This window comes from Homo sapiens, chromosome 11, assembly GCF_000001405.40.
Source record: "Homo sapiens chromosome 11, GRCh38.p14 Primary Assembly".
Classification (NCBI taxonomy): Eukaryota; Metazoa; Chordata; class Mammalia; order Primates; family Hominidae; genus Homo; species Homo sapiens.
In genome coordinates, this window is record NC_000011.10 from 18,613,123 (window position 1) to 18,640,642 (window position 27,520).

At 43.1% G+C, this 27,520-nt stretch overlaps 1 protein-coding gene and 1 long non-coding RNA gene across 2 annotated transcripts in view, besides 3 other annotated features; one reads left to right on the forward strand and one right to left on the reverse strand.

Moving 5' to 3' along the window:
* The window catches only part of SPTY2D1 (SPT2 chromatin protein domain containing 1), a 27,940-nt gene extending 6,720 nt beyond the window's left edge, over positions 1-21,220 (reverse strand). Inside the window, exons 1-3 of the mRNA NM_194285.3 lie at positions 21,076-21,220; positions 3,753-3,867; positions 1,441-2,976 (exon numbers count right to left, since the gene is read on the reverse strand). Of these exons, the coding sequence (NP_919261.2) occupies positions 1,441-2,976; positions 3,753-3,867; positions 21,076-21,135 (1,711 nt within the window). The 5' untranslated portion in view covers positions 21,136-21,220. The remainder of the gene's footprint in view (positions 1-1,440; positions 2,977-3,752; positions 3,868-21,075) is intronic.
* Positions 2,491-3,690: an enhancer, noted in NCBI's record as "CDK7 strongly-dependent group 2 enhancer chr11:18637160-18638359 (GRCh37/hg19 assembly coordinates)". NCBI's record gives its function as "activates an origin of replication core promoter dependent on BRD2, BRD4, P300/CBP, MED14 and CDK7 cofactors, with strong dependence on CDK7, by STARR-seq in HCT116 cells {active_cell/tissue: HCT116}" and the evidence as "EXISTENCE:reporter gene assay evidence [ECO:0000049][PMID:35650434]".
* Positions 20,205-20,384: a silencer, noted in NCBI's record as "silent region_3192". NCBI's record gives its function as "represses an Ori minimal core promoter by ATAC-STARR-seq in GM12878 lymphoblastoid cells {active_cell/tissue: GM12878}" and the evidence as "EXISTENCE:reporter gene assay evidence [ECO:0000049][PMID:35858748]".
* Positions 21,221-21,226: 6 nt separating the features above from the next.
* Positions 21,227-22,871, forward strand: LOC105376578 (uncharacterized). The gene is made up of 2 exons (XR_931097.3): positions 21,227-21,839; positions 22,758-22,871. It is a non-coding gene; the product is annotated as an uncharacterized LOC105376578 (long non-coding RNA).
* Positions 21,441-21,710: an enhancer, noted in NCBI's record as "active region_4507". NCBI's record gives its function as "activates an Ori minimal core promoter by ATAC-STARR-seq in GM12878 lymphoblastoid cells {active_cell/tissue: GM12878}" and the evidence as "EXISTENCE:reporter gene assay evidence [ECO:0000049][PMID:35858748]".
* Positions 22,872-27,520: the final 4,649 nt, after the last annotated feature.

Here is a 27,520-nt window from a genome sequence, read left to right on the forward strand (position 1 = left end):
TTTGCCAAGACACCAAAAGTAGCAACTACCATCTACTATAATCACAATTTCATTTAAAAATTTAAAGTTGAATGAAGTATGAATGACTCTCAGAATTATATTGTTCAAACTGAGTAAGTTTGACTGTAGGAAAAACTCACTACATTATCCTTATTTTTGTCATTTTACCAAAAGACTGATAAAAACTTTGCAAAAGACAGGCATTGATCAACAGCCCAGGATCTGGGAACAACTACTTTCTAGTTTTTGATTACAGACACTTCTTTTGTTCTTCTACGGTTGTTTTTAATATGCATGGCTTGTCTCCCTAGCTTAGTTTCTCAACCTTAGCTCAATGACATTTCGGACCAGATAATTCTTTGCTGTCAGGGGGCTATCCCATGCATTGTTTGTCAGCAGCATCCCTGTCCTCTATTCAGTAGATGCCAGTGGCATCCCCCATCCCCAGTTGTGACGATTGCCAAAAGTCCCCTGGAGGGCAAAATTGCCCTTGTTAAGAATCAATGGTCTAGTTGAACTAGGAAATTTAAAACAAGTAATTCAATCATTGGTTCCTTTTTATATTCTCCGTGGAGCCTAACAAGTGCTTTAATAAATCTCTATTAGCATAAAGCAAGTACGACCTAGCAGCTAGCAGGTGCCACCAATGATCATATACCTTGGGACAGCAGATTCCTGAAGGATCAGTGTTTAGGATCTTGATACTAACCATTATAACAAGCAGAAACACAAGTACAATCTAAAAACAGTTCCTGGCACATAATGGGTGCCCAAGAAATATCTGCTGAATAAGCTTCCGATTATACCCTGATCCTTGAAGACAGGTCTCTTTAGTCCTCAGGAAAAAGTAGATTAATTCATCCATTGCAGCATACATATGTAAGTCACGTACATTCACCCTGAATGTTCACAAATCACAAAGCTAAGTTTATCACACTTAGGGACATTTCAAGGGTGAACACAGAGATCCTAGACAAGTCTCTTTCTAAAGACCTTTCCAAGCCATTAAAGGAACTCTCAGCAGGGAATAGTGACTCATGACTATAATCCCAGTATTTTGGGAAGCTGAGGAAGGCGGATCTCTGAGCCCCGGAGTTAGAAACTAGTATAGGCAACATACTGAAACCCCATCTCTATAAAAAATAAAAAGTTAGCCAGGCATGGTGGCACACGCCTATAGTCCCAGCTACCTGGGAAGCTAAGGTGGGAGAACTGCTTGAGCCTGTGATTGTGCCTGGGCAACAGAGCAAGACCCTGTCTCAAAAACAAAAAAACAAGGAACTCTCAACCACAAGGCAGATAAAACATCACGATTCTATCAACACTACAGCACATTAAAGGACAGCACATGAGGGGTTCAAAGGGTCCCTGATAATATAAAAACTCTTTCCAATTTCCTAATGACAAATATATACTCTTTCGGGTGAGGGGAAATTTTACCTTGGGCAGCTCTGTAGCCAGATAGGGGAGGCTTCATTCCATTCATCTGTCCATTGCTGGACCGGCTAATGATATTCTTGGAAGAAATTGTTTCGGAGACAACAGTGCACTTAGGCTTTATAGTGGGACCTGAGCTACTAACTGTTTGCCCAGGTCCCAAGCTGCTCACTGGTCTTCCTGGGACTGAATTACTGACAGTCCGTCCAGCTGGAATTGAGCCACTTATGGATCTCCCAGGGCCACTGACAGACCGCCCCGGGGGGCCCAAGCCACTCACTGGTCGTCGAAGTTCATGTGGACTGCTCACAGGCCGGCCAGGGCCACGAGAGCTGCCCAAGGGTCTTGCAGAACTAACTGAACCACTGATGGGTCGCCCAGGGCCACCTGAGCTGCTTGCAGGTTGTCCAGGGCCACATGTACCACTGACTGTCCGCCTAGAGGGATTTGAGTCATTGGTTGGCTTCTTGGACCCACTGATTGATCGCTCAGGTCCTGAGCTGGAGCTGCCATTCTGGCGCCTAGGCACAGGGCCAGAACTAACTGTGGGTCGAGCAACCCCTGTGCTGGGCTGCCCAGGGGCTGAGCTAGAGCTGCTGCCTGGCTGCCTGACACCTGGACTCTTAGCCTTATTGTGTGGGGTGACCATGGGCCCAGGCCTGGAATGGCTAGGATGGGACAGAGATTTTTTGGCTTTGTGCTCAACAGCAGATTTCTGAGTCCTGCTAGCAGAAGTCTTTGGGACACTTGGTGAAGAGGTGCTGGAATGAGGCTTTCCAGCTCCATTAAAAACAGGTTTGTCGTGGCCCTCACGAAGTGAGGGTTGGGAGCTATTGCCAGATCCTGCCTTGATCCTCTCTCCTGGCATGGATTTGGATGAAGACAAAGCGAGGTGTTTCTCATTGGCCATGCTGGGTCTTGATTTCTTCTCAGCATGAGGAAGGGGCATTCCTTTGGAAGAAGGATGCCTGTCTCCAGAACCTTTGCTAAGTTTTGTGCCCACACTTTCTTTCTGAGAGGGTGCCTTTTTGGACACAGTTGGAGGTAGTTTTCCATCTGTCTCAAGTTTTTTTCTCCTATGCTTTCGTTCAAGGAATTCTCGCTCCCTAAGTTCTTCTGCGGTCATAGGTCGCTCTTCTGATTTCTTCACTACCTTGATTTCCACTGGTTCAAACTGCTTTTTCTCAGCCAGCCTGAGTAAATCAGTGAAGTTCATGGGTGGTGGGGCACTTTTAAGGGGGACCTTTGGTTTGCTTTCAACTTTGGGAGGTTCTTGCTCTTCCTCATACTCCTGCTCTGACTCTGCGTGATTGTACTCGAGGAATTCATTCTCTTCTTCCATTTCATACTCTCGGTCGGTTCCTTGGCTGGTATGGCTTTCTGTTGCCTGCCTCTTCTTTGACTTTTCCTCAATAGGAATCCCATTGTAACCATGGAAATTATCCTTTGTCCTCTTGGCCATAGCTCTTGCTTTCTTGTCATGTTTGAGCTCAATTCGCTTTTTCACTAGTTCCTCTTTTCTCCTTTTCTCCTCTAAGGCTAAAAGGGACAAAACAAGAATATGTTATTACTTCGAGATCTCAAGATTGCAGTATGCTCAAGTGAAAACACAACGTTCAGGTTACAGTTTGAAGACATCTAGGAATCAAATGAGGAAGTCATGTGAACAAGTATCAATTGAGTCATCTTTACATAATGAGTGGGAGACATATGGGTTTTTCTATATGACTAAGCAAGTGGGAGACTTGGTTTTCAGCTTTAAATATACAAAATACTTCAAACCAAATACATTACCAAGTTAAGAGAACATTAGTATCCACTTAGTAGTTGTTATTAATTATGATTCAATGAATACTTAAACATATTGAATCAGTTTCTTTGTATTTGCATGAAGTAGAACTATTCGAAATAAAGACTTTAAAACTTATCTCTATTTTAGCCTTTTAGATAGCATTCTGTTAATAAAAATTAAAATACAAAATGGGTAGAAACACTTTCAGAACCAAGATTAAAGAAAGAATGGAGTTCTTACTGGGGACTTACTATGGCCAATTAGAAGACATGGCTACTAACCCCCAAAAAGCTGTTACTTCAAGGGGAGAAAAAAAGAAAACGTTTATACAAATGATCGAGGTAACATATGTAAAGCCATGAATACAGTCAGTTAACCTGGACACACACACACACACACACACACACACACCCTCCCAAATCTGTTGGCCTGTTATGTTTTTATAGACAGCCACTGGTTTAGTACAAGCTAGATGGTGAAGATGGAATACTTTAAAATTGAGAATAAGGCTATAGATACATACCTTTTCGTCTCAGCTCCTCTTCTTTCCTTTTAAGAAAAGCTTGTACAGCTGCTGATTGGACACCTTTAACTTTTGGGTCTTTTTTTGGAGGCCCCACTGCCAAACTATACCTTTTCTAAAAACAAAAACAGTAAAAGTTAGAAGCAATTCAACTTTTAAAATACATTATTAGGTATAAGGCACTGTGCCAGGTAATAAGAGGTATAAATGTTAACTGTGAAACCTATTCTGAATAATTGAGAGATCATATAACCCATAATAAAGCTTAGCTATAAAATTTCAGACTATTTATTACGTATGGTGATTTTGGGGTACAAAGTTTCCATGTAACATCCCAAAATAATGCATAAATGAACAATTCACAGAAACACTGTTTTCAGGCTATTTTCCAAAAAAGAACCTGGACTGGGTAACTAAATGAAATCACCACTTAGAAGAATCGATTATTTGTGTTTTAAAATTCTGATTTAGGCTGGGCTCAGGGTCTCATGCCTGTAATCTCAGCACTTTGGGAGGCGGAGGCGGGCGAATCATGAGATCTGGAGTTCGAGATCAGCCTGGCCAACATGGTGAAACCCCATTCCTACTAAAAACACAAAAAATTAGCTGGGCGTAGTGGCGGGTGCCTGTAATCCCAGCTACTCAGGAGGCTGAGGCAGAAGAATTGCTTGAACCCGGGAGGCAGAGGTTGCAGTGAGCCGAGATTGTGCCACTGCACTGTAGCCCGGGCGACAAAGTAAGACTCCGTCTCAAAAAAAAAAAAAAAAAAAAAAAAATCTGATTTAGGCCAGGTGCGGTGGCTCACGCCTATAATCCCAACACTTTGGGCGGCTGAGGTGGGAGGATTACCTGTGGTCAGGAGTTAGCAACCAGCCTGGCCAACATAGTGAAACTCCGTCTCTACTAAAAATACAAAAATTAGCCGGGCATGGTGGCGCACATCCGTAATCCCAGCTGCTTAGGAGGCTGAGGCAGGAGAATGGCTTGAACCCAGGAGGCAGAGGTTGCAGTGAGCCGAGATTGCGCCACTGCACTCCAGGCTGGACAACAGAGCAAAACTCCGTCTCAATCCATCAATCTATAAGTAAGTAAGTAAGTAAGTAAATGTATAAAATTCTGAGTTTAAAAATAGCCTGCCTTAGAAAGAAGCATTTCAAAGTCCAACTTTTCAAACGAACAGAAAAAACTACTCCTCACAACTATTTTCTCTCCTGACTACTCCAGATGATTTCCTAGTAGAGACTCATAGCTACATGTTTTATTTTGCTTAGAACACGGAAACACTGAGGTTTTACTTTGACCACACACAAAGGCTGGGGCAAACCACAGCAAAAAAGCATTTCAAAAAATCTATGCAATAAAGGCCCAATTCCCAGCAACCTTTAACTGTAGCTCTTATGTTCACTAAATGTTAATTTGCCTCACAACCTCCTTTTTAGACAGGTTCCTATAACACCCAAAAAAAGCTTACATTATCCTGGCACAGATGAAGTCTCTGGACCTCAGTTTTTATATAACTGCATCAAGAAATTACTAAACTCAAGTAATGTTAATTTGAACTATAAAAGGAAAAATATTTCCACTTTATAAGTACCTATTATGAGAGAAATATGACGAACATAGAGCTAAAATAAATTCAGACCAGGGATGATTCACCTCTACGACCATTCCACATTAAATCCAGGAAATAAGATTTTTAAAGTATCCTCCTTTTTTTGTTTTGTTAGGCAGATGCATTCTCATCTAACGTACCTGTTGCTGTGGCTAGCAGAAAAAGAAACATGTCCAAGAACAAATTGAGACAACTTAGGAACAACTTAGGAACCAAAAAAGTATTCCCAAATATGTATGAAATTCTTGGAGGAAAACCAAAAGATATGTGCTTACTATAAGGCTGCCAAATACGACGTATCTTGAAACAGGCTGGAAGTTTCAACTAAATTAGTCTGCCAACAAAGCAGCTGGCCAAGGAAGCAGGCTCTAATTCAACCTGAAAATCTTGCATGATAGCAATGCTGAGAAGTGACATATCCCTAATAGAGAGAAGTCCCAAGACAGCATCCAGATTTCTTTCCCAGTCACCTTGGCTAGGCCATAGTGAGATCCTTTAAAGTCCATATCTTTGTAAATTTAATTTTAGACTCTTTCCATAGTGGATAGGGGCTCAATATTTAAAGGAGAAAAGGGAGAAAGAAAGGGAGAGGAGAAAGGAGAAGTAATACTGCTAACCTAACTAGATATATATAAAATTGCCCTTGTTTACAAGAAAAGAACCACAAACATAGGTATTAATCACAAGGAGCTTACATTTTCATTGTGGAAAGGGCACCATGAATATGATTCAAATGAAGACATACAAAAAACTCATAAGCAGAGGCACACACTCACTCCACTCCATCCCATTAAGGGATTTGGAAGCAGAAGAAGGTGGATTTTTTTTCACTAACACTTAAGATTTTCCTGGCCAGGCGCAGTGGCTCAAGCCTGTAATCCTAGCACTTTAGGAGGCTGAGGCGGGAGGACAGCTTGAGCCCAGGAGTTAAGACGCCAGCCTGGACAACATGGTGAGAACTCATCTCTTTAAAAAAAAAAAAAAAAAAAAGGCTGGGTGCAGTGACTTACACCTGTAATCCCAGAACTTTGGGAGGCTGAGGCAGGCGGATCACAAGGTCAGGAGATCGAGACCATCCTGGCCAACATGGTAAAACTGCATCTCTACTAAAAATACAAAAATTAGCTGGGCGTGGTGGTGCCTGCCTGTAAGCCCAGCTACTTGGGAGGATGAGGCAAGAGAATTGCTTGAACCAGGGAGTCGGAGGCTGCAGTGAGCCAAAATTGCGCCACTGCACTCCAGCCTGGTGACAGAGCAAGACTCCGTCTCAATAAACAAAAAACAAAAATTTCCTGTCCCTGTCCATTATATAGCTCATAGAGTTACAAAGCCCCATACAAATCAAAGCCCCATGCAAGGTTTTCCCCAAGAAAAATGCAAATACATATATTAGCATTACTTATTTTAAACAGGACTGGTTTGCTGTCCAAATAACCCAGCATTGAGCACTATCTAACATGATTTTGGGATAGATATCTTTCATCTTAACCTGGGACTGCAAGAGATAGAAAGTGGGATATGACAAACCGAAAAGCTGCTCTTGACTGAATACTGGTATCCAAAAGGGAAAACATCAGTGTCAATGGGGCATAGTTTAATGCAGTGTTCAGTAAGCTTCAGTCATTTGCATACTACCTTTATGATTTTTGCCTTTGTGGTATACTACCCCTACCATTACTTACTAATTTAAAAAAACATACAGAGTTGGCCAGGTGCGGTGGTTCACGCCTGTAATCCCAGCACTTTGGGAGGACAAGGCGGGCAGATCACTTGAGGTCAGGGGTTCGAGACCAGCCTGGCCTCGAACTCTGGTGAAACCCTGTCTCCACTAAAAGTACAAAAATTACCCAGGCATGGTGGCTCACGCCTGTAGTCCCAGCCAGTTGGGAGGCTGAAGCACGAGAATCACTTGAACCCAGGAGGCAGAGGTTGTAGTGAGCCAAGATCACGCCACTGCATTCCAGCCTGGGCAACAGAGTGAGACTCGGTCTCAAAAAAACAAAAACAAAAACATCATGAGCCGTTATTATAGCTTTACCTCAGCAATAATATCCACAAAATGACTGACTTGAACAACTAGTTATATTTTTCCAATTCATATAAAAATACATACTATTAAGCCGGGCACGGTGGCTGACACCTTTAATCCCAGCACTTTGGGAGGCCAAGGCGGGCGGATCATGAGGTCAGGAGATTGAGACCATCCTGGCCAACACAGTGAAACCCTGTCTCTACTAAAAATACAAAAAACTTAGCCAAGCGTGGTGGTGGGCACCTGTAGTCCCAGCTACTCGGAAGGCTGAGGCAGGAGAATGGCGTGAACCTGGGAGGCGGAGCTTGCAGTGAGCCGAGATCGCGCCACTGCACTCCAGCCTGGGCAACAGAGCAAGACTCTATCTCAAAAAAAAAAAAAAAATACTATTAAAATAAAAAATATTTTATTTGTAAAAAAATGTAGAAATATTTTAAATGGTATATTTGTATACCATTTATATCCAGGCCCTATATGTGCTGCTCTTTAAAAACACTGACTGAGGCCGGGCGTGGTGGCTCATGCCTGTAATGCCAGCACTTTGGGAGGCTGAAGCGGGTGGATCACCTGAGGTCAGGAGTTCGAGACCAGCCTGGTCAACTTGGTGAAACCCCATCAAAATACAAAAATTAGCCAGGCGTGGTGGTGGGCACCTGTAATCCCAGCTACTCTGGAGGCTGAGGCAGTAATTGCTTGAACCCAGGAGGTGAAGGGTTGCAGTGAGCCGAGATCGCACCACTGCACTTCAGCCTGGGTGATTGTACTCTACCCTGGGTGAGAAGAGTGAAACTCTGTCTCAAAAAACAGAAAAGAAAAGAAAAGAAAAGAAAAGAAAAGAAAAGAAAAGAAAAGAAAAGAAACACTGACTTAGGGAACAAAAATACAGGAAAGGCATAAAAACAAGGAAGGTGGTGTTCAGGAACTCAGATTTGCTTTGAAAAGAATAACAAAGGCTACTTTTAGCTTTTTTTCAAAGTATACACCTATTCTCATCAATTTATATGTCAACTTCAAATTCTGCCTTTTTAAACACCTCTAATCATTAAGGATACTTAAGCTGGTCTCACATTTAACCCAACAACTTTGCAGTACTTGTTGTACTGTCCTTATGATGCAGCAGAAACTCAATAAATCTATACAATGTCTATTTTGTTGATCTTCAACAACTTAAAAAGCTAGCAGTAAGGCAAGGTCAGCACTGCTTTAATGAGGCTTAATCTTGTTTATATGAACTGAGCCATAATCAATTAATTTCTTATATCCTCTGTAGCTTAAAAATGTACTCAGGTCAGGCATAGTGGCTCACACCTGTAATTCCAGCACTTTGGGAGGCTAATTCGAGAGGATCGCTTGAGCACAGGAGTTCGAGACCAGCGTGGGCAATATAGGGAGACCCTGTCTCTCCAAACAATTTAAAAATTAGCTGGGCACAGTGGCATATGCCTGTGGTCCCAGCTACTCGGGAGGCTGAGGCAGGAGGATTGTCTCAGCCAGGGAGGTCGAGGCTGCAGTGAGCCATGGTTGTGCTATGGCACTCCAGCCTGAACAACAGAGTAAGACCCTATCTCAAAAAAAAAAAAAAAAAACCAAAACCAAAACCAAAAAAACCTCAACAGCACAAATACCAATAAGATATTAAAACACTCTTAGACAAAGTTTAGGTTCACAACCTAAAAAAAAGACTGGGTCACTCGAGATCATCTTTATATTTTTGGAAATATCTTTGAATGGCCAGGTATGGTGGCTCATGTCTGTAATCCCAACACTTTGGAAGGCTGAGGTGGAAGGACTGATTGAGCCCAGGAGTTCGAAACTAGCCTGGGCAGCATAATGAGACCCCCATCTCTACAAAACATACAAAAATTAGCCGGACATTGTGACGCACGCCTGTAGTCCCAGCTACACAGCTGATGTGGGAGGATGGCTTCCGCCCAGGAGGTGGAGGCTGCAGTGAGCCATGATTGTGCCACTGTACCCCAGCCTGGGTGACAGAGCAAGACTCTGTCTCAAAAATAAAATCTTTGAGATAAAATTCATATACCACAAAATTCATCCATTTAATGTATACTATTAAATGGTTTTTGATATACAGTTGACCTTTAAACATGGTAGCATGGGATGCCACCACCCTGTGCAGTAAGAAAAAATTCCGGCTGGGCGCGGTGGCTCACCCTTGTAATCCCTGCACTTCGGGAGGCTGAGGCGGGCAGATCACCTGAGGTCAGGAGTTCGAGACCAGCCTGATGAACATGATGAAATCCATCTCTACTAAAAATACAAAAAATCAGCTGGGCGTGATGGCACGCACCTATAATCCCAGCTACTCAGGAGGCTAAGGCAGGAGAATAGCTTGAACCCAGGAGGTGGAGGTTGCAGTGAGCTGAGATCGCGCCACTGTACTCCAGCCTGGGCAACAAGAGCAAAACTCTGTCTCAAAACAACAACAACAACAACAACAACAACAACAACAACAACATTCCATGTATAACTTTTGACTGCCTAAAAACTTTACTAACAACTCAAAGTTGACCAGAAGCCTTACTGATAACATAGTCAATTAACATACATTTTATGAATCCTGATATACTTTTTTCTTAATTCTTTTCAATATTTCTAGGCTATGTTCATCTGCAGGTTTTTTAAGTTATCACAAATTTAAAAAAAAACTTATTGGAAAAAAATCCATGTATAAGTGGGTCCACACAGTTCAAACCTATGTTGTTGAAGGGTCAACTGCATCCACAGAGTATAACCAACACCACCATCTGATTCCAGAAAATTTTAATCATTCTCCCAAAAAATCTCTTAGCTTTAGCAATGACTCCATGTTCTTGTCTCCCCTCAGCCCCTGGCAAACGCTAATCTACATTCTGTCTCTATGCATTTACCAATTCTGGACATTTCATACAAATGAAATCGTATAATATGTAGCTATGATGGTTAATTTTATATGTCAATTGGACTAGGCTATAATACCCAGTTATTTAATCAAACATTAAGCATTACTGTGAAGGTATTTTGTAGATATAATATCTACAATCAGTTGACTTTAGGTAAAGAATACTACCCTCCATAATGTGGATGGGTCTCATCCAATCATGCCAATGAAGGCATAAGAGCAAAACCCGAGGCTTCTAAGAAAAGGAGTTCTATCTCAAGACTACAGCATGAACTCCTGCCTGATTTTCCAGCCTGCTGGCCTGCCCGAGAAATTTCAGACTTGTCAGGCCTCCATAATCAATTCCCTAAAATAAATCCTACTGGTTCCATGGAGAACACTGACAGATACAGTGGCCTTTTGTATCTGGCTTCTTTCACTTAGCATGTTTTCAAAGTTCATGTTGTAGCATGTATCAATATTTCCTTCCTTTTTGTGGCTGAATAATATTCCATTGTATAGATATACCATGCATTATTTTTATATTCATCAACTGAATATTCGGATTGTCTCTACTTTTTGGCTATTATGAATAATGCTGCTGTGAACATTTGTGTACAAGTTTTTATGTGGATGCACATTTTCCTTTCTCTTAGGTATATGACCACAGATCTTTTTCTCATTGAGCAGGCAAGACCTTTCAAAAGGGGGTTGCAATAGACCCTGGTATCAAAAGATGTGTTGTAATGGAATATTTTAAAAGACAGTTCCCCAGAGGGGCAGCCCAGTGGAGAAACATTTTTAAAAAGAGAGGAAAAAAAAAAAAAAGCTTCAGGCTGGATTACATTATATTCTATTTAATAACCCAGAAGAACTATTTGGCACTTCCCCTCGCATCACATGGTCATATTTAGCTCTAGCAGCAGCACATCAGGATGCATCCATCAATTCTGAATCTGAGTCAAGGCACCAGGCTGCTTCATTGTTTGAGCTTCATGGAAAGCAGCTGGACAAGAGTTTCTTTTATCCTAAGCATATCCATTTTATTACACTGCAAGCCAACTCAGTCATTCTGCTACACCCCAATGAATGATCCACCACAGTGAAGCTTGTCATTTAAATACAACATCAGAGATTTTGCCAAGATTTGTAACTCTGAAGCCAAGAGCTTTAGAAAATATTAAGCCACTTTAAAACATATCTGTTCCTTGCATTTAAACTGTATCATCTAAGCCAGATTAAGAAAATAAGGAGACATTAGTCTAGAAACATGTGTACACCGACTACTGTATGTTATGTTGGAATCGATAGTCAATCCCTGGCCAGGCGTGATGGCTCACGTCTGTAATCCCAGCACTTTGGGAGGCTGAGGTGGGTGGATCACCTGAGGTTGGGAGTTCAACACCAGCCTGACCAACATGGAGAAACCCCATCTCTACTAAAAATACAAAACTACCCAGGCGGGATGGCGCATTGCCTGTAATCCCAGCTACTAGGGAGGCTGAGGCAGGAGAATTGCTTGAACCCGGGAGGCAGAGGTTGTGGTCCGCCAAGATCGCGCCATTGCACTCCAGCCTGGGCGACAGAGCGAGACTCCGTCTCAAGAAAAAAAAAAGTCAATTCCTCCATGAAAGCTGTTCTTTACCCAGGAGATAACATATTGTTTCGACTGTAGAAAATATAAATTTCTTGATGGCTTTACATAAGAGATTTATAACTGGTTAGAATTAGGAGTTAGGAATATTCAAAGAATGCTGCATCCTTAACTTTAATAATCACCACAGTTTTTAAAAATTTTCTCAGAACATCAGAGTCAGAGAAAGAAAGTAGGCCTGGAAAACCAATGGTTCCATTAGAACTGCTTAGCTGGATGGCTAAGAGGATAAAAATTAATAACCTGCCCCAAAAGATGCTATTCATAATTGCTATGGAGTTAAATGTAAATTTTACTGTTATTGTGTTTACAAAAACATACCTGATTATAAAATGTAATAATATCAGATAGGTGTCTCATGGAGTCTCCAGTCCAACCTCTATGTTAGAAATGGCCCAGAACACCTGTGTATTTACTGGCAATCACACGGTTTATAGCAGAGTCTGAATTAGAATCCAGATCGCCTAACTCAGCCCCAAAATATTCTCACTACAACACATCTCATTTTTTTTTTTTAGAAATACATAGGGTCTTGCTTGATTTGTCACCCAGGCGGCTGGAGTACAGTGGCATGACCTTGGCTCACTGTGGCCTCAAACTCCTGGGCTCCAGTGAGTCTCCCACCTTAGCTTCCCGAGTAACTGGGACTACAAGCACACACCACCACAACTGGCTATTAATAATTTTTGTATTTTTTGTAGAGATTGGGGGGGGGGTCTCACTTTGTTGCCCATGATGGTCACTTCTAATTTAACTCCAACACTTTCTTTTTTTTTTTTTTTTGAGATGGAGTCTCGCTCTGTTGCCCAGGCTGGAGTACAGTGGCGTGGTCTCGGCTCACTGCAACCTCCACCTCCTGGGTTCAAGCAATTCTCCTGCCTCAGCCTCCCAAGTAGCTGGGACTGATTATAGGCACCTGCCACCACACCCAGGTAATCTTTTGTATTTTTAGTAGAGACAGGTTTCACCACGTTGGCCAGGTTGGTCTCGAACGCCTGACCTCATGATCCACCCACCTCAGCTTCCCAAAGAGCTGGGATTACAGGCGTGAGCCACAATGCCTGGCTCCACCACTTTCATCTCTAGTTTTTAATTTAACTCCAACACTTGGATCTCTAGTTCTAACCTCCTTTCCCTAATTTCCACCTGCCTCTTGGATAATGCCAGTACTTCAGAAAGGTCTACAACCAAACTTCTATCTTATCCTCCCTCACCTTCAGACTCTACTTCTGTTAACCATGCTGGCACTGTCCTAAACAAGCTGTAAATATCCTTCTGCCTATCAGTTTCCAAATGATTTTGGTTCAGCCTTTACATTTGTCTCCCATCAGACTCTACTGTATACTAAGAATGTCATTAAAAAACAAAACAAACAAACAAAAAAAAAAAACAGAGTTACTGCCTAAGGCTGGAGTTGGGGATAGGGAACTGGATGGGTTCAAGCTGTGTAGGTAACAACCTTCCTCACTATACCATCCTCAGTACACGCCCCTCATTCAACACAAGCTCATGATTAAGAGCAAGAACTCTGGAGCTAATCTGCCTGGATTAGATTCTCTGCTCTACCATATCTAGCGTTAGCTCTGTGACCATGGGCAAGTTACGGGCCTCAGTTTCCTCATTAGTAAAATACTGCTCATTATATGGTTATTATGATGATTAAATTAATATATAAAGTGCTTAGAACAGTGCCTGGCACAGAGTATGCACTATAAAGGTTAATTGTTATTCAGAAAGAGATTATCTTGGTAGTGATGGGGAAGGGAAATAACAGAACCTCTATGGGAAAAAGGTGAACAGTAGTTTCTAAAAGACCCTCTCCCTAAAACACTAGTTGAGAGGTACTGCTCTAGGCTAGAAATCCAACACTGCCCCAGACATGAGACAAGTCATCTTCAGATCTGTGAAAGAAAATGGAGAGTCTATTTGGGGCTTCTAAAGGTTGTTCAGCCCTGAGGAGGTTGACTTTGGAGACAGAGTCTTGGAGCATGACCTATTAATTAATGACCTTTTGTTTTAAATTAACTTCCTTATTTTTTTGTACCAGGCTCAGACCACATGGCTGAGATAAAAGACCCTTGGCCAGGCATGGTGGCTCATGTCTATAATCCCAGCACTTTGGGAGGCCGAGGTGGGTGGATCACCTGAGGTCAGGAATTCGAGACCAGCCTGGCCAGCATGATGAAACCCCATCTCTACTAAAAATACAAAAAAAAAAAAAAAAAAAAATTAGCCAGGCGTGGTGGCACATGCCTGTAATCCCAGCAAAGACTGGAAGGCTGAGGCAAAAGAATGGGTTAAACCTGGGTAGCAGAGGTTGCAGTGAGCCAAGATCATGCCATTGCACTCCAGCCTGAGTGACAGAGCAAGACTCCATCTCCAAAAACAACAACAACAACAAAAAACCCTTCACCGGGCGTGGTGGCTCACATCTGTAATCCCAGCACTTTGGGAGGCCAAGGCGGGTGGATCACTTGAGGTCAGGAGTCCAAGACCAGACTGGCCAACATAGTGAAACCCCATCTCTACCAAAAAATACAAAAATTAGCCAGGCACGGTGGCTCACGCCTGTAATTCCACCACTTTGGGAGGCCGAGGGGGGTGGATCATGAGGTTAGGAGATCGAGACCATCCTGGCTAACACAGTGAAACCCCGTCTCTACTAAAAATACAAAAAAAGTAGCCAGGCATGGTGGCGGATGCCTATAGTCCCAGCTACTCGGGAGGCTGAGGCAGGAGAATGGCGTGAGCCCGCGAGGCGGAGCTTGCAGTGAGCCGAGATCATGCCACTGCATCCCAGCCTGGGCAACAGAGCAAGACTCCGTCTCAAAAAAAAAAAATACAAAAATTAGCTGGGCATGGTGGTGCATGCCTGTAGTCCCAGCTACTCGGGAGTCTGAGGCAGGAGAACTGCTTGAACCTAGGAGGCAGAGGTTGCAGTGAGCTGAAGTGGCATCACTGGACTCCAGCCCAGGCGACAGAGCAAGACTCTGTCTCCAAAACAAAAAAAACCTGACTGAGATAAGAGACCCCTTTACTATTACACCCTTAATGTGGAATGTTAAATACACCCTTCCCAAAAAAGAAACACTGCCTACTACCGAATTGCTGCAACTATGCATTAACCTTGTACAGAAAATACTGAAATCCTGTTAAGCTTCCCCAGACCTTGCCTATATAAAAGATTCTCAGATCTCTCCCTTTTGGAGTACTCCATTTGGCTATTATGAATAATGCTGCTGTGAACATTTGTGTACAAGTTTTTATGTGGATGTATGTTTTCCTTTCTCTTAGGCATATGATCATAGATCTTTTTAACATTGAGCTAGCAAGACCTTTCAAAAGGGGGTTGCAATCAGACCTTGCTATCAAAAGATGTGGTACTGGAATGTTTTAAAAGACAGCTCCCCTATCCCATAGGGGTAGCCCAGTGGAGAATCATGTTTATAAAGAAAAAAAGCCACAGGCTGGATTACATTATATTCTATTTAGTAAGGCAGAAGAACTATCTGGCACATAAGAGAATGCATACATCCTGAAATACACACATTTTGAAATTTTCTGCTGTAGGATTATCTGTCTGCTTTGTGGAGTCTGCGTCTTCCCAGGTAGCCATCCTCAAACTGCACTCAAATAAGCTCAATATCATATTGCCAGGACCTCGTTATTAAGGTTAACAGATCCAAGGGTGGGGAGCAATCCAGTTACAATCCATTATAGATCAAACATTACCTGCAGAAAAAAGACATCTACAAAAACTTTTTGTTGGCCCACACTGTTCTTTAAAAGAAAATGTAACTACTATGCAAATCGTGGGCTTTTTTTAAATACATGGAGCTTGGCACCTATCATTTTTTATGCAGACTACTTCAAGAATTTACATTATCTACCTGGCCCCTGAAGACATCTGAATTTGCTGTCCTAGTTAATGTCCTGGGCTCTTACTTTCACTACCTATGGTTCTTATCCTTAAGGGGCTATAGGCAGACCCCCAAATTCTGGTATACCTGGTACCACATGAAGGTTTGCCCTTTACCTTTCGGTTTGTGGCAGTGGAGGTCATACCAGAGCTTCAGCAGCTTTTCTGGTTGTTTTTCACAGTCTCACTGGGAGAAAGACCATATAAGTTGGCTTATGCTTTACAAGCCATCAATTATAGCTATGTGATGGCCCGGTGTGGTGGCTCGCGCCTGTAATTCCAGCACTTTGTGAGGCCAAGGCAGGCAGATCACTTGAGGCCAGGAGTTCGAGACCAGCCTGGCCAACATGGTGAAACCCCCATCTCTTAACTAAAAATACAAAAGTTAGCTGGGCATGGTGGCGTGCGGCTGCAGTCCCAGCTACTCAGGAGGCTGAGGCAGGAGAATCGCTTGACCCCGGGTGGCAGAGGTTGCAGTGAGCCCAGATCGCTCACTGCATTCCAGCCTGGGCGACAGAGTGAGACTTTGTCTCAAAAAAAAAATTATAGCTATGTGAAACCTGTAAGAATCCACATTCTAAGCTCTAGTATTCTACCAAAACAAGTTAACTACTTTGTTTTTCCTACTGGAACCCAGGGAGAAAAATCAAGTGCAAGTTTACCAAAAATATCTTTTCTCCTTTATATATAAACAGAGCCAGTGACGACAACTTGTTTCATCACCTTGATCAGCAGTTATTATATATTCAGTTTTCCACTGGGAAATGACAGTGTGCCTACTATTTCTGGGCCTGATGCAATCCTACCTTTAACATAAAAAACTATTTGTTAAAAATTAAGAAACAAAAAAATGATGATTAGGGAAATACTCATAGCTTCTCAAGACAGATACAATAGGTAGCTTTAAAAAATAAAGCTCTGCCGGGCACGGTGGCTCACGCCTGTAATCCCAGCACTTTGGGAGGTCAAGGTGGGTGGATCACAAGGTCAGGAGATCGAGACCATCCTGGCCAACATGGTGAAACCCCATCTCTACTAAAAATACAAAAATTAGCTGGGCGTGGTGGTGGGTGCCTGTAATCCCAGCTACTCGGAAGGCTAAGCCAAGAGAATGGCTTGAACCCAGGAGGCGGAGGTTACAGTGAGCCAAGACCATGCCACTGCACTTCAGCCTGGTGACAGAGGAAGACTCTGTCTCAAAAAATAAAAATAAAAATAAAGCTCTGGCCGGGCATGGTGGCTCATGCCTGTAATCCCAGCACTTTGGGAGGCCGAGGCAGGTGGATCACGAGCTCAGGAGATTGAGACCATCCTGACCAACATGGTGAAACCCCATCTCTACTAAAAATACAAAAATTAGCTGGGTGTGGTGGCATGCGCCTGTAATCCCAGCTACTTGGGAGGCTGAGGCAGGAGAATCGCTTGAACCCAGAAGGTGGAGGCTGCAGTGAGCAGAGATAGCGCCACTGCACTCCAGCCTGGTGACAGAACGAGACTCGTCTCAAAATAACAACAAAAAGCTCTGCAAAGAGTCTGAAAGGCTGAAGTGGCTGTACAGGTGTTTGGATTTTAGTCTAATCATCGCTAGTCACTGGATTTCCTTACCATAGTAAAGGTCTGACCCAAGAACTCTGAAGACTGAAATTCTGAGCATTAGCTCTGATAGGTTCCAAATGAAGGTGGGAGAAGAAGTTGGCGAACAGGGAAAAATGAACCAATCAATAGAGAGAGATGCAGCCTAGTTAGTTATTGCAAAGCCTCTGTGGTTCTCAGATCAATTAATCAAGTAAATTTATAACAGCAGGGTGTGTATAGGGCAGGGAGGGATGTAGCTGTCTTTTTTTATTTTATTTTATTTTTCTTTTCATTTGAGACAGAGTCTCGCTCTGTCACCCCGGCTGGAGTGCAGTGGCACGATCTCCACTCACTGCAACCTCTGTCTTACTGCAACCTCCGCCTCTCAAGTTCAAGCCATTCTCCTGCCTCAGCCTCCTGAGTAGCTGAGATTACAGGTGTGCCCCACCATGCCTGGCTAATTTTTGCATTTTTAGTAGAGACGGGGTTTCACCACATTGGCCAGGCTGGTCTCAAACTCCTGATCTCAGGTGATCTGCCCACCTTGGCCTCCCAAAGTGCTGGGATTAAAGGTGTGAGCCACAGCACCCAGCCAGAAATAAAGCTGTTAATTGATACGATAGTCCCCAACTCTCTCTTTGTTTTTAATAATTGTGAAAATCATAGACATAGTGTACAGGGTAACAGATTATTAGAAAGCAAGTATCCTTTTAAGCTACCATCGAAGTCAAGAAACATTTCAAGACAGGCCTGGCTCAGTGGTTCACACCTGTACTCACAGCAGTCTGGGAGGCTGAGGTGGGCTGATCACTTGAGGCCAGGAGTTTGATACCAGCCCTATCTCTACTAAAAATACAAAAAAATTAACTGGGCGTGGTGGTGCACCCCTGTATTCCCAGCTACTCAGGAGGCTGAGGCAGGAGAATGGCTTGAACCTGCGAGGCGGAGCTTGCAGTGAGCCAAGATTTCGCCACTGCACTCCAGCCTGGGCAACAGAGACTCCATCTCAAAAAAAAGAAAAGAAAAGAAAAAGCTTTATTTCTTTTAAAATAGATAACAAAAAAAAAAAAAAAACCACCAAACACTTTATTTCTTTTAAAATAGATGGCAAAAAAAGAAAAAAAGCTTTATTTCTTTTAAAATAGATGGAATAAATATGGGGAAATGTTAATATGCTAAATACGGGGTTTGGGTATATTAGAAATGTGTTAACATTCCTTATGTTTGAAAGTGTCCAAATTACTTTAAGCTGATAAGGAAAAAGTAAATAGAACAGTTAGATGAATCAAGTTAAAGCAAATCAAGTAAAGCATGAAATTTGGCCGGGTGTGGTGGCTCACACCTGTAATTTCAGCACTTTGGGAAGCCGAGGTGGGCGAATGACTTGAGGAAGGAGTTCAAGACCAGCCTGGCCAACATGGTGAAACCCTGTCTCTACCAAAAATACAAAAGTTAGCTTGATGTGGTGACAGGTGCCTGTAGTCCCAGTTACTCAAGAGGCTGAGACAGGAGAATTGCTTGAACTCAGCAGGTGGAGGCTGCAGTGAGCCGAGACCATGCCACTGCACTCCAGCCTCCAGCCCGGACGACAGAGTGAGACTCTATCTTAAAAAAAAAAAAAAAGAAGAAGAAGAAATTTAACTACAGTCTTATCCTATTCCTCAATAGTTTCTTTTGTGACTTTAATTCCACATAAAAAGATAAGAATTATAATGCTGGTAACTAAATCAAACTTCTAGGCTTACTAGCTTTGGCGGGGAGAGGTCAGAGAATGCATGATTCATAAAATATATGGCTATATTATCTATTGATTTTTTTTTTTTTGAAATGAAGTTTTTCTCTTGTTGCCCAGGCTGGAGTGCAATCGCACGATCTCAGCTCACTGCAATCTCCGCCTCCTGGGTTCAAGCAATTCTGTCTCAGCCTCCCAAGTAGCTGGGATTACAGGCGCACACCACCATGCCCGGCTAATTTTTGTATTTTTAGTAGAGATGGGGTTTCATCATATTTGTCAGGCTGGTCTCAAACTCCTGACTTCAGGTGATTCTCCCGCCTAGGCCTCCCAAAGTGCTGGGATTACAGGCCTGAGCCATTGCGCCCATCTATTAAATTTTAAATTACTTTTTTCCCCTTTTTGATTCTTCTGTTATTCCAATCATAGATAATGCATATATTATGACATATACACATATTTTGAAATTTTCTGCTTTAGGATTATCTGTCTGCTTTTCTCCCAGCAGCTACTGGCTTTCAGAATAAGAAATGACTTAGTTCTGATTCTTCCACAGAACAGTACTGGGCATCAAAGCTAGTACTATCTTTGACCTTTACTGAAATTCAATAAGATCTAGAATGAAATACAGACCAAATTATGCAAAGATGAATGGTTACTAGACCCAATATTGATTCATCTGGAAAATTTACAGATGCTTCTAGAAAGTAAATCTGTTGATCTGGGTTTCAAAGGTTTGAGTCTATACCTTCAACATGCAAAGCTTATGACTCACGGCTTAGAGGAATGGTTATTCAGAGTTCTTGGGATAAGGGATGGCTGTGTGTGTGTATATATACATATATTTATAAACATAAATATAGACCTTTTTCAGATCAATATTTTCAAAGGGATAAAAGAATGAACTAGCCTCAGAAGACAAAAAAAAGCTGCAGAAGAGAAAAAAACGAATATTGCAATATACGAATATCTAGGAAATGCAGAGCACTTCGTCGGAGCTCAATAAATTCTAGCTGAATTGACTTTGAGAGCCGTTTTAGTTCTATACCTCACTGCTCAAACCGCAGGCATCACCATGCAACTTATCGGTTTACAGCTGTGCTGTGGGTACCATCTGAAAATCTGGAAATGATTAGCTTATGCAAAACAGCCATAACCCCCAGAAACCAGGCGCTCTCCACCACTTTACCATTTAAGTCTTACACCGCTCTTGCGACTGTAAGCGAACTGACAAACATCTACTGACCAAATGGGACCTAGATTTTAAACAAAGACTGAAATCTGGAAGGCTACAAGTAAACAGAAGCTGAAACTAGCTCACCTATTCTGTTGGCCAAGGATTTCGTGGAATCTGCTAAACTTCTCTTCCCAAAAGATGATACCTATCCCCTGGGAGGTGATAATTTAATCACCTCGGTGGCTGAGTGGGTGGGGCCGAGTCAGAGAATTCTTTCAAGAAATCGCTAAACGTTTGACTTGAAGATCGATGAGAAGCCAGCCAAAAAGCTATCAAGCCAAGGACCCCAAACCCCCTAACTCCCTTACATACATATTTCCTTCCCAATCTCTAGGCTGAAGTTTATGTGGAAGCCAAAAACTACCAGCGCTAGAATCCACAGCGTGCCAGGCACAGCTCACTCACGGCTTTCACGCAATTCTAGCTACAACACCCAAACCGCAAAGTCCCTGTTGCAGGGGTAAATAAGCCGGCGAAACCCATTCACAGGAAGGCTCCCGCGTCTCGTCCCAAGCTCTTTTCTCCCGAGTTCCCAAGAGTATAAACCCAAGAAAAGGAAATAAGGCGTCCGGGTCTTTCCTCTCCCGGAGCCGATAGGCGGCTGCCCAGAAGTTCCATGGGCCACACACATTCCGAACTTGGAAGACTAGGGTCCCCTACATTGATGCCCCAGCTGCTACTTACCGGCACATTGTTGACACCTTGTCCCTTGGAAGCTATCATGAGAATTTCTCTGAAGTCCATGTTGGGCCGAGGCGGGAGAGACTGGGCCAGGCACTCGGAAAGGACTGACAGCGCACCTAACCGAGGCGCCCAGCTACAGCCAACTGCACTGCCTCGGGAGCCCCACTCCCACCCCGCCTCTGCGGGACCACTTCCGGCGCCTTCCTATGCCGTCTGCCCGCCCCCTTCCCTCCACGGCCTATATCCTTTCAGGGCCGCCACAGCGCTCGCGAGTCCCTGCGTAACTTCCGCTTTTAGGCCGAGACACGTACAAACGTGATACGTGGCTGCTGGCGTCGACCCGAGGGGCAGGGACTAGGCATTTTAGCAACCAAGGGGGTGTGGCTAAGCGAGAGAGCGGCTTCCCTGGTGGCCCGGGCGCGCGGTCTTGTCATCTTGTTGCTCCTTGTGAGCGCTGGGTAGAGAAAGTGAGGGGGTAGAGGGTTTACTTGCCAGGCCTGGGTTCTCTGGGTGTCACGGGTAGGCGCTTAGATCCAAAACGGCGGCGCCACAACAGCTGAACAGACGGATCTCGAGCCGGGGTTTGGGCTACTTGTGTCTAGGCGCTCGCGAAGCTGCGCAGGCGCACACAGCAGCGCCGTGGTCCTGTCTTGGATGCCCATTACTCATCAAATTCGGCCACATGCCGTGCGCTTACCTCCTACTCAGATGCACGCGTGCCGGGGATGGGGGCACGCGCTTACTTCTTTTGCCCCGTTTAGAAAGTAAGTTTTATGTGGAGCAGCCAACCTGTGTTTTTGCTCAGGCAATGGATTAAGGAATTTCACATACAGACCCAGCCTTGACATAACTTTGGTGTACTGATGAACATATGCTTCATATTCATATTCATTGGGATCCTAGTCCTGACTTCTTTTGGAGAGTTATCTTGGATCTGTAAGGTCATTTCGACTTAGCAAAAACACTGAAAATAATTAGGCAAACCTGGGTCTGCAAGTGGGAACCCGCCAGGGGATTGATAGCAAACAGGTACTCGGGATCTTTTCGGTGGGATGGAAATGCCTCCAAACTGGATTGTGGGGATGGTTGCACTATACATGTACTAAAAATCGTACACTTAAGACGGGTGAGAATGATACAGTATGTAAATATGTCAAGCTGTTAAAACATGCTAGACAGGCCGAGCGCGGTGGCTCACGCCTGTAATCCCAGCACTTTGGGAGGCCGAGGCGGGCGGATCACGAGGTCAGGAGATCGAGACCATCCCGGCTAAAACGGTGAAACCCCGTCTCTACTAAAAATACAAAAAATTAGCCGGGCGTAGTGGCGGGCGCCTGTAGTCCCAGCTACTTGGGAGGCTGAGGCAGGAGAATGGCGTGAACCCGGGAGGCGGAGCTTGCAGTGAGCCGAGATCCCGCCACTGCACTCCAGCCTGGGCGACAGAGCGAGACTCCGTCTCAAAAAAAAAAAACAAAAAACATGCTAGACAAAGCTGCTGGCTCTTACTCTTTGATGGTTTAATGCTGCGAACGTAATTCAAAATCAAAGCTGTTGGAACTTTAAGTTATTTTGCGCCTTAAAAGAATGTTATTATGGAACCTGAGCTACATAACAGGCAGCTGCGTTTGTTCCTCTGATTATAGATTAGCCTTTCTTTCCTACATCGTTTTGTGAAAACACAGGGAGAAGACAGCCATGTACAAACCAAGGAGAGAGACCTCAAGGTAACCACACCTTGATCATGGAATTCTAGCCACCAGAATTGTTAAGACAATAAATGTCTGTTGTTTAGGCCACCTAGTCTGTGGTACTTTGTTATTGGCAGCCCTAGCAAACGAATACACTGGCATATGGTGTTTTCAATTAATGCCAACCATCATTTCTCAAGGAAGCTCTTCCTGAGCTATCTCAGGGCCCCTTTTATAAATTCTTACAGCCCCCCAGTATTTCCCTTCATGCAACATTTTACAGTTTGTAATTACATATTTGTTCTTTTTTTTTTTTAAACTATTGGCTATATCTGTGATAGACAGAGCTATGAAAATGGGCATAAGCCTATTTTACCCATCACTATTTCCATCACCAGCACAGTTCCCTGCTAATGCACATAAAAGTTGCAACAAAGATTTTTTGACCAAATTAATGAATCGATAAGTGGAAAGCTCCCAAGATTCAATATTGTAGTACTTAGCATACATTGAGCCATTACTATATGCTTAGTGCTTGACATGGATTATCTGACTTGATCATGAGTGTTGTATAAGGCATTTCCTGTTACTGTTTTATAGATGAAAAGCTGAAGCTTGAAGAGATGAAATTAGACTTATACTGTACCATTAGTCAATCGGAGAGCCAAGACTAGAACCCTTAGATTACCCAAACCAGACTCTATATTTCAGTTAGCCCATTTGAACTGGTACAAGTCTATGTACATGGAGTTATAATGTAAAAAAGGGCTTGGATTAGGTAACTAATACCTAGTTAGTCAAAATCAAGAACAACTGCTGGAGGTGGGAATGAGGTAAGGAATGAGAGGAGCAATTTTCCTGTATCCTTGTAAAACATTCTATCATCGAGTTCAGCAAATACTTCCTGGGAAACTACTACTGTGTGCCCAACCTTATGGATGATACAAAGAAAGACCCATATCCTGCCTGCCTGATCAGAACTTTTAATTCTTGTGTGAACACAAGTAACAATTATGTAAAACAGAAAGTGCTAACTGTATTAGGGATACAAAGTGTGGGGAATAGCGTTGCCAGATTTAGCAAATAAAAATGTGGACATCCAGTTAGGATCTTGCTCTGTCACTCAAGCTGGAGTATGGTGGTGCAATCACGGCTCACTGCAACCTCGACCTGGGCTCAAGCCATCCTCCCACCTCAGCCTCCCAAGTAGCTGGGACCACAGGTGTATGCGACCACGCCTGGTTAAATTTTGTATTTTTTGTAGAGATGAGGTTTCACCATGTTGCCCAGGCTGGTCTTGAACTTCTGAGCTCAAGTAATCTGCCCGTCTGGGATTCCCAAATTGCTGGGATTCCCAAATTGCTGGGATTATAGGCATGAGCCACCATGCCCAGCCCATCCAGTTAAATTGGAAAGACATACACCAAAAATCATTTGTTGTTTATCTGAAATTCAACTTTAGGTGTCTTGTATTTATCTGGCAACTCTAGAAGTGTTGGAATTCCAGCTACAACATTACATTTAGAGAGTGTGAAAAGCACATTAAAGGGTTGAAAGAACAAGTAGTGGGTGTATTTAGGAGAATGCTAGGAAATAAAGGTCAGAAAAGTAAGTGAAGGTCGGGCGAGGTGGCTGACACCTGTAATCCCAACACTTTGGGAGGCCGAGGCAGGCGGATTGCCTGAGGTCAGGAGTTCGAGAACAGCCTGGCCAACATGGCAAAACCCTGTCTCTACAAAAATACAAAAATTTGCTGGGCATGGCGGTGGGTGCCTGTAGTCCCAGCTACTTGGGAGGTTGAGGCAGCAGAATCGTTTGAACCCGGGAGATGGAGGTTGCAGTGAGCCGAGATCATACCACTGCACTCCAGCCTGGGTGACAGTTAGACTCTGGGCATGAGGAAGGACAGGTGAGTGTGATACTTCAGGATACTTGGTGATGAAGAAAAGGCGAGTGATATGCAATAACCAGGGTGGTGGGTAGAGGCTGTTGGTAAAAAGGTAAACTCGGGTAGTATGAACCAGAAAGAATGGAATGAACTGGGTCTTTGCCAACCGCAGGTCCAGGCTCTGCTGTGGAAGGGCTGTGTGTCCTTAGGCAAGTTTCTGTTTTGTACTTTTTGATGTATGGCACAGTATTTGAATATAAGGTTTGATGTAAAAAATTTTCAAACAAAAAAATAACATAAAGCTCCCATCAGCCTCCCTCAATCTCATCTCCCTCCCTAGAGGATATTACCATATAAAGTTGCTGAGTGTGCTTCTGAGATGTTCGTGTACACAAAATTATGCCTAATGTACAATATATAATGTACATATATAAATGTTCTATATATATATGTAGGATACATAGAACATATAATATTAGCATATCAATATAAATCTAGGATATGTATCTTTGAAAACATGTAACTTGGTTGTGTGTCCTTGGTTTATTTATAGAAATACACACACACACATACATATGTATATGTGCTGTGGGCTGAATTGTGGTCCCCTCAAAATTCATGTATTGAAACCCTAACCCTAACCCCCAATGTGAATATATTTGGAGACAGGGCCTCTGAAGAGGTAATTAAAGCCGGGCATGATGGCTCATATCTGTAATCCCACCACTTTGGGAGGCTGAGGCAGGCTGATCACTGGAGGTCAGGAGTTTGAGACCAGCTTGGCCAACATGGTAAAACCCCATCTGTACTAAAAATACAAAAATTAGCCAGGCATGTAGTCCCAGCTACATGGGAGGCTGAGGCACAAGGATCACTTGAACCTGGGAAGTAAAGGTTGCAGTGAGCTGAAATGGCGCCACTGCACACTCCGGCCTGGGTGACAGAGCAAGACTACATCTCTAAAAAAATAATAATAAATAGAGGGGCAATTAAGGGCCGGGTGCGGTGGTTTATGCCTGTAATCCCAGCACTTTGGGAGGCCAAGGTGGGTAGATCACCCAACATCAGGAGTTCGAGACCAGCCTGGCCAACATGGTGAAAACCTATCTCTACTAAAAATTAAAAAATTAGCCAGGCATGGTGGTGCACACCTGTAGTCCCAGCTACTCAGGAGGCTGAGGCAGGAGAATTGCTTGAACTTGGGAGGTAGAGGTTGCAGTGAGCCAACATCACCTCACTGCACTCCATCCAGTCTGGGCCACAGAGCCAGACTTCGTCTTAAAAAAAAAAAGGAAAAAAAAAGAGGTAATTAAGGTTAAATGAGGTCACTGGGATGGGGCCCTGATCCAATAGACCTGGAGCCCTTATTGGAAAAGGAAGAGACACCAGAGTTGCACATGCCCAGAGAAGAGGCCATGTGAGGACACAATGAGAAAACAGCAATTTGTAAGCCAAGCAAAGAGGTCTCAGAAGAAACCAACCATGCTGACACTTTAATTGTAGACTTGTAGCCTCCAGAACTGTGAGAAAGTAAATTTTTGTTGTTTAAGCCACTGGACTGTGGTATTTTGTTACGGCAGCCATAGCAGATTCAGACAATATGTAACTTGGGTTTTCTCTTGTTTCAATTTAAAATATGTCTTATAGCTGTTTTCATGTCAGTACAAATTGATCTACTTTGTTTTGTATAACTACTGCATCATATCATATTCCATCCTTTTTTTTTTGTTTTTTTGTTTTTTTGTTTTTTTTTGAGATGGAGTCTGGCTCTGTCACCCAAGCTGAAGTGCAGTGGAAGGATCTCGGCTCACTGGAACCTCAGCCTTCTGGGTTCAAGCGATTCTTCCGCCTCAGCCTCCCGAGTAGCTGGGATTATAGGCGGCCCCCAACACGCTCGGCTAACTTTTGCATTATTAGTAGAGATGAGGTTTAACCATGTTGGCCAGCTGGTCTCAAACTCCTGACCTCAAGTGATCCACCGGCCTCGACCTCCCAGAGTGCTGGGATTACAGGCGTGAGCCACTGTGCCTGGCCCAGAGTATGTATTTAACATAGTTTATTTAACCACAGGACTATTAATGAATTGTAAGGCTGCTTAAAAATGTTTATTATCATGAACAATGCTGCCATGAATGTCCTTGCACATGCTTTTTTGTGCAAATACTGATCATGTTTCCCTGTGTTAGATATTTAGATACTTAGAAATTGGATTGGGGGGATGAAGGTATGTACATTTCAAATTTTAATAGCTACTACCAAGTTGTCCTCCAAAAAGGGCATACCAATTTAGATTCCCACCAACAATATATTGGAGCTATTGGAGCACCCTTTTCTCTATACTTCATCAGATCTGGATATTATTAAACTTAAATTTTTGTCAATTTCATGGGTGAAAAATATCTCCTTGTTGTTTATTTTGCATATCCTTGATTACCAGCTAGCATCTTTTCTTATGCTACTTGATAATTTTTTGGGCTTTTTTCTTCTTTAAATTGTTCACATCTGCAGTGGGTATTTTGATTTCTTTGGCATCAATCTCACTGTCTCTCCCATCATACGGCAGAAATTCCATCTGGGTGGGATGGACCCCATTCCCAAACTCTAGGGTAGCACCACCAACCCCTGGCTATAACCTAATTAATATAATTTAATCACCATTTCCCATGATTAAGTCAAAGAAACTATTCTATCCAAGCCTAAATCAGGCAGGAACAACATATCCCTCAAACAGTAGACATAATGCCTAGGGTCTACAATCCTTTTTAAGGGAATAAAAAATGTTTTAATTCCGTTTTTTTGTTTTTTTTTTTTTTTTTTTTTTTTTTTTTTGAGATGGAGTCTCGCTCAGTGGCCAGGCTGGAGTACAGTG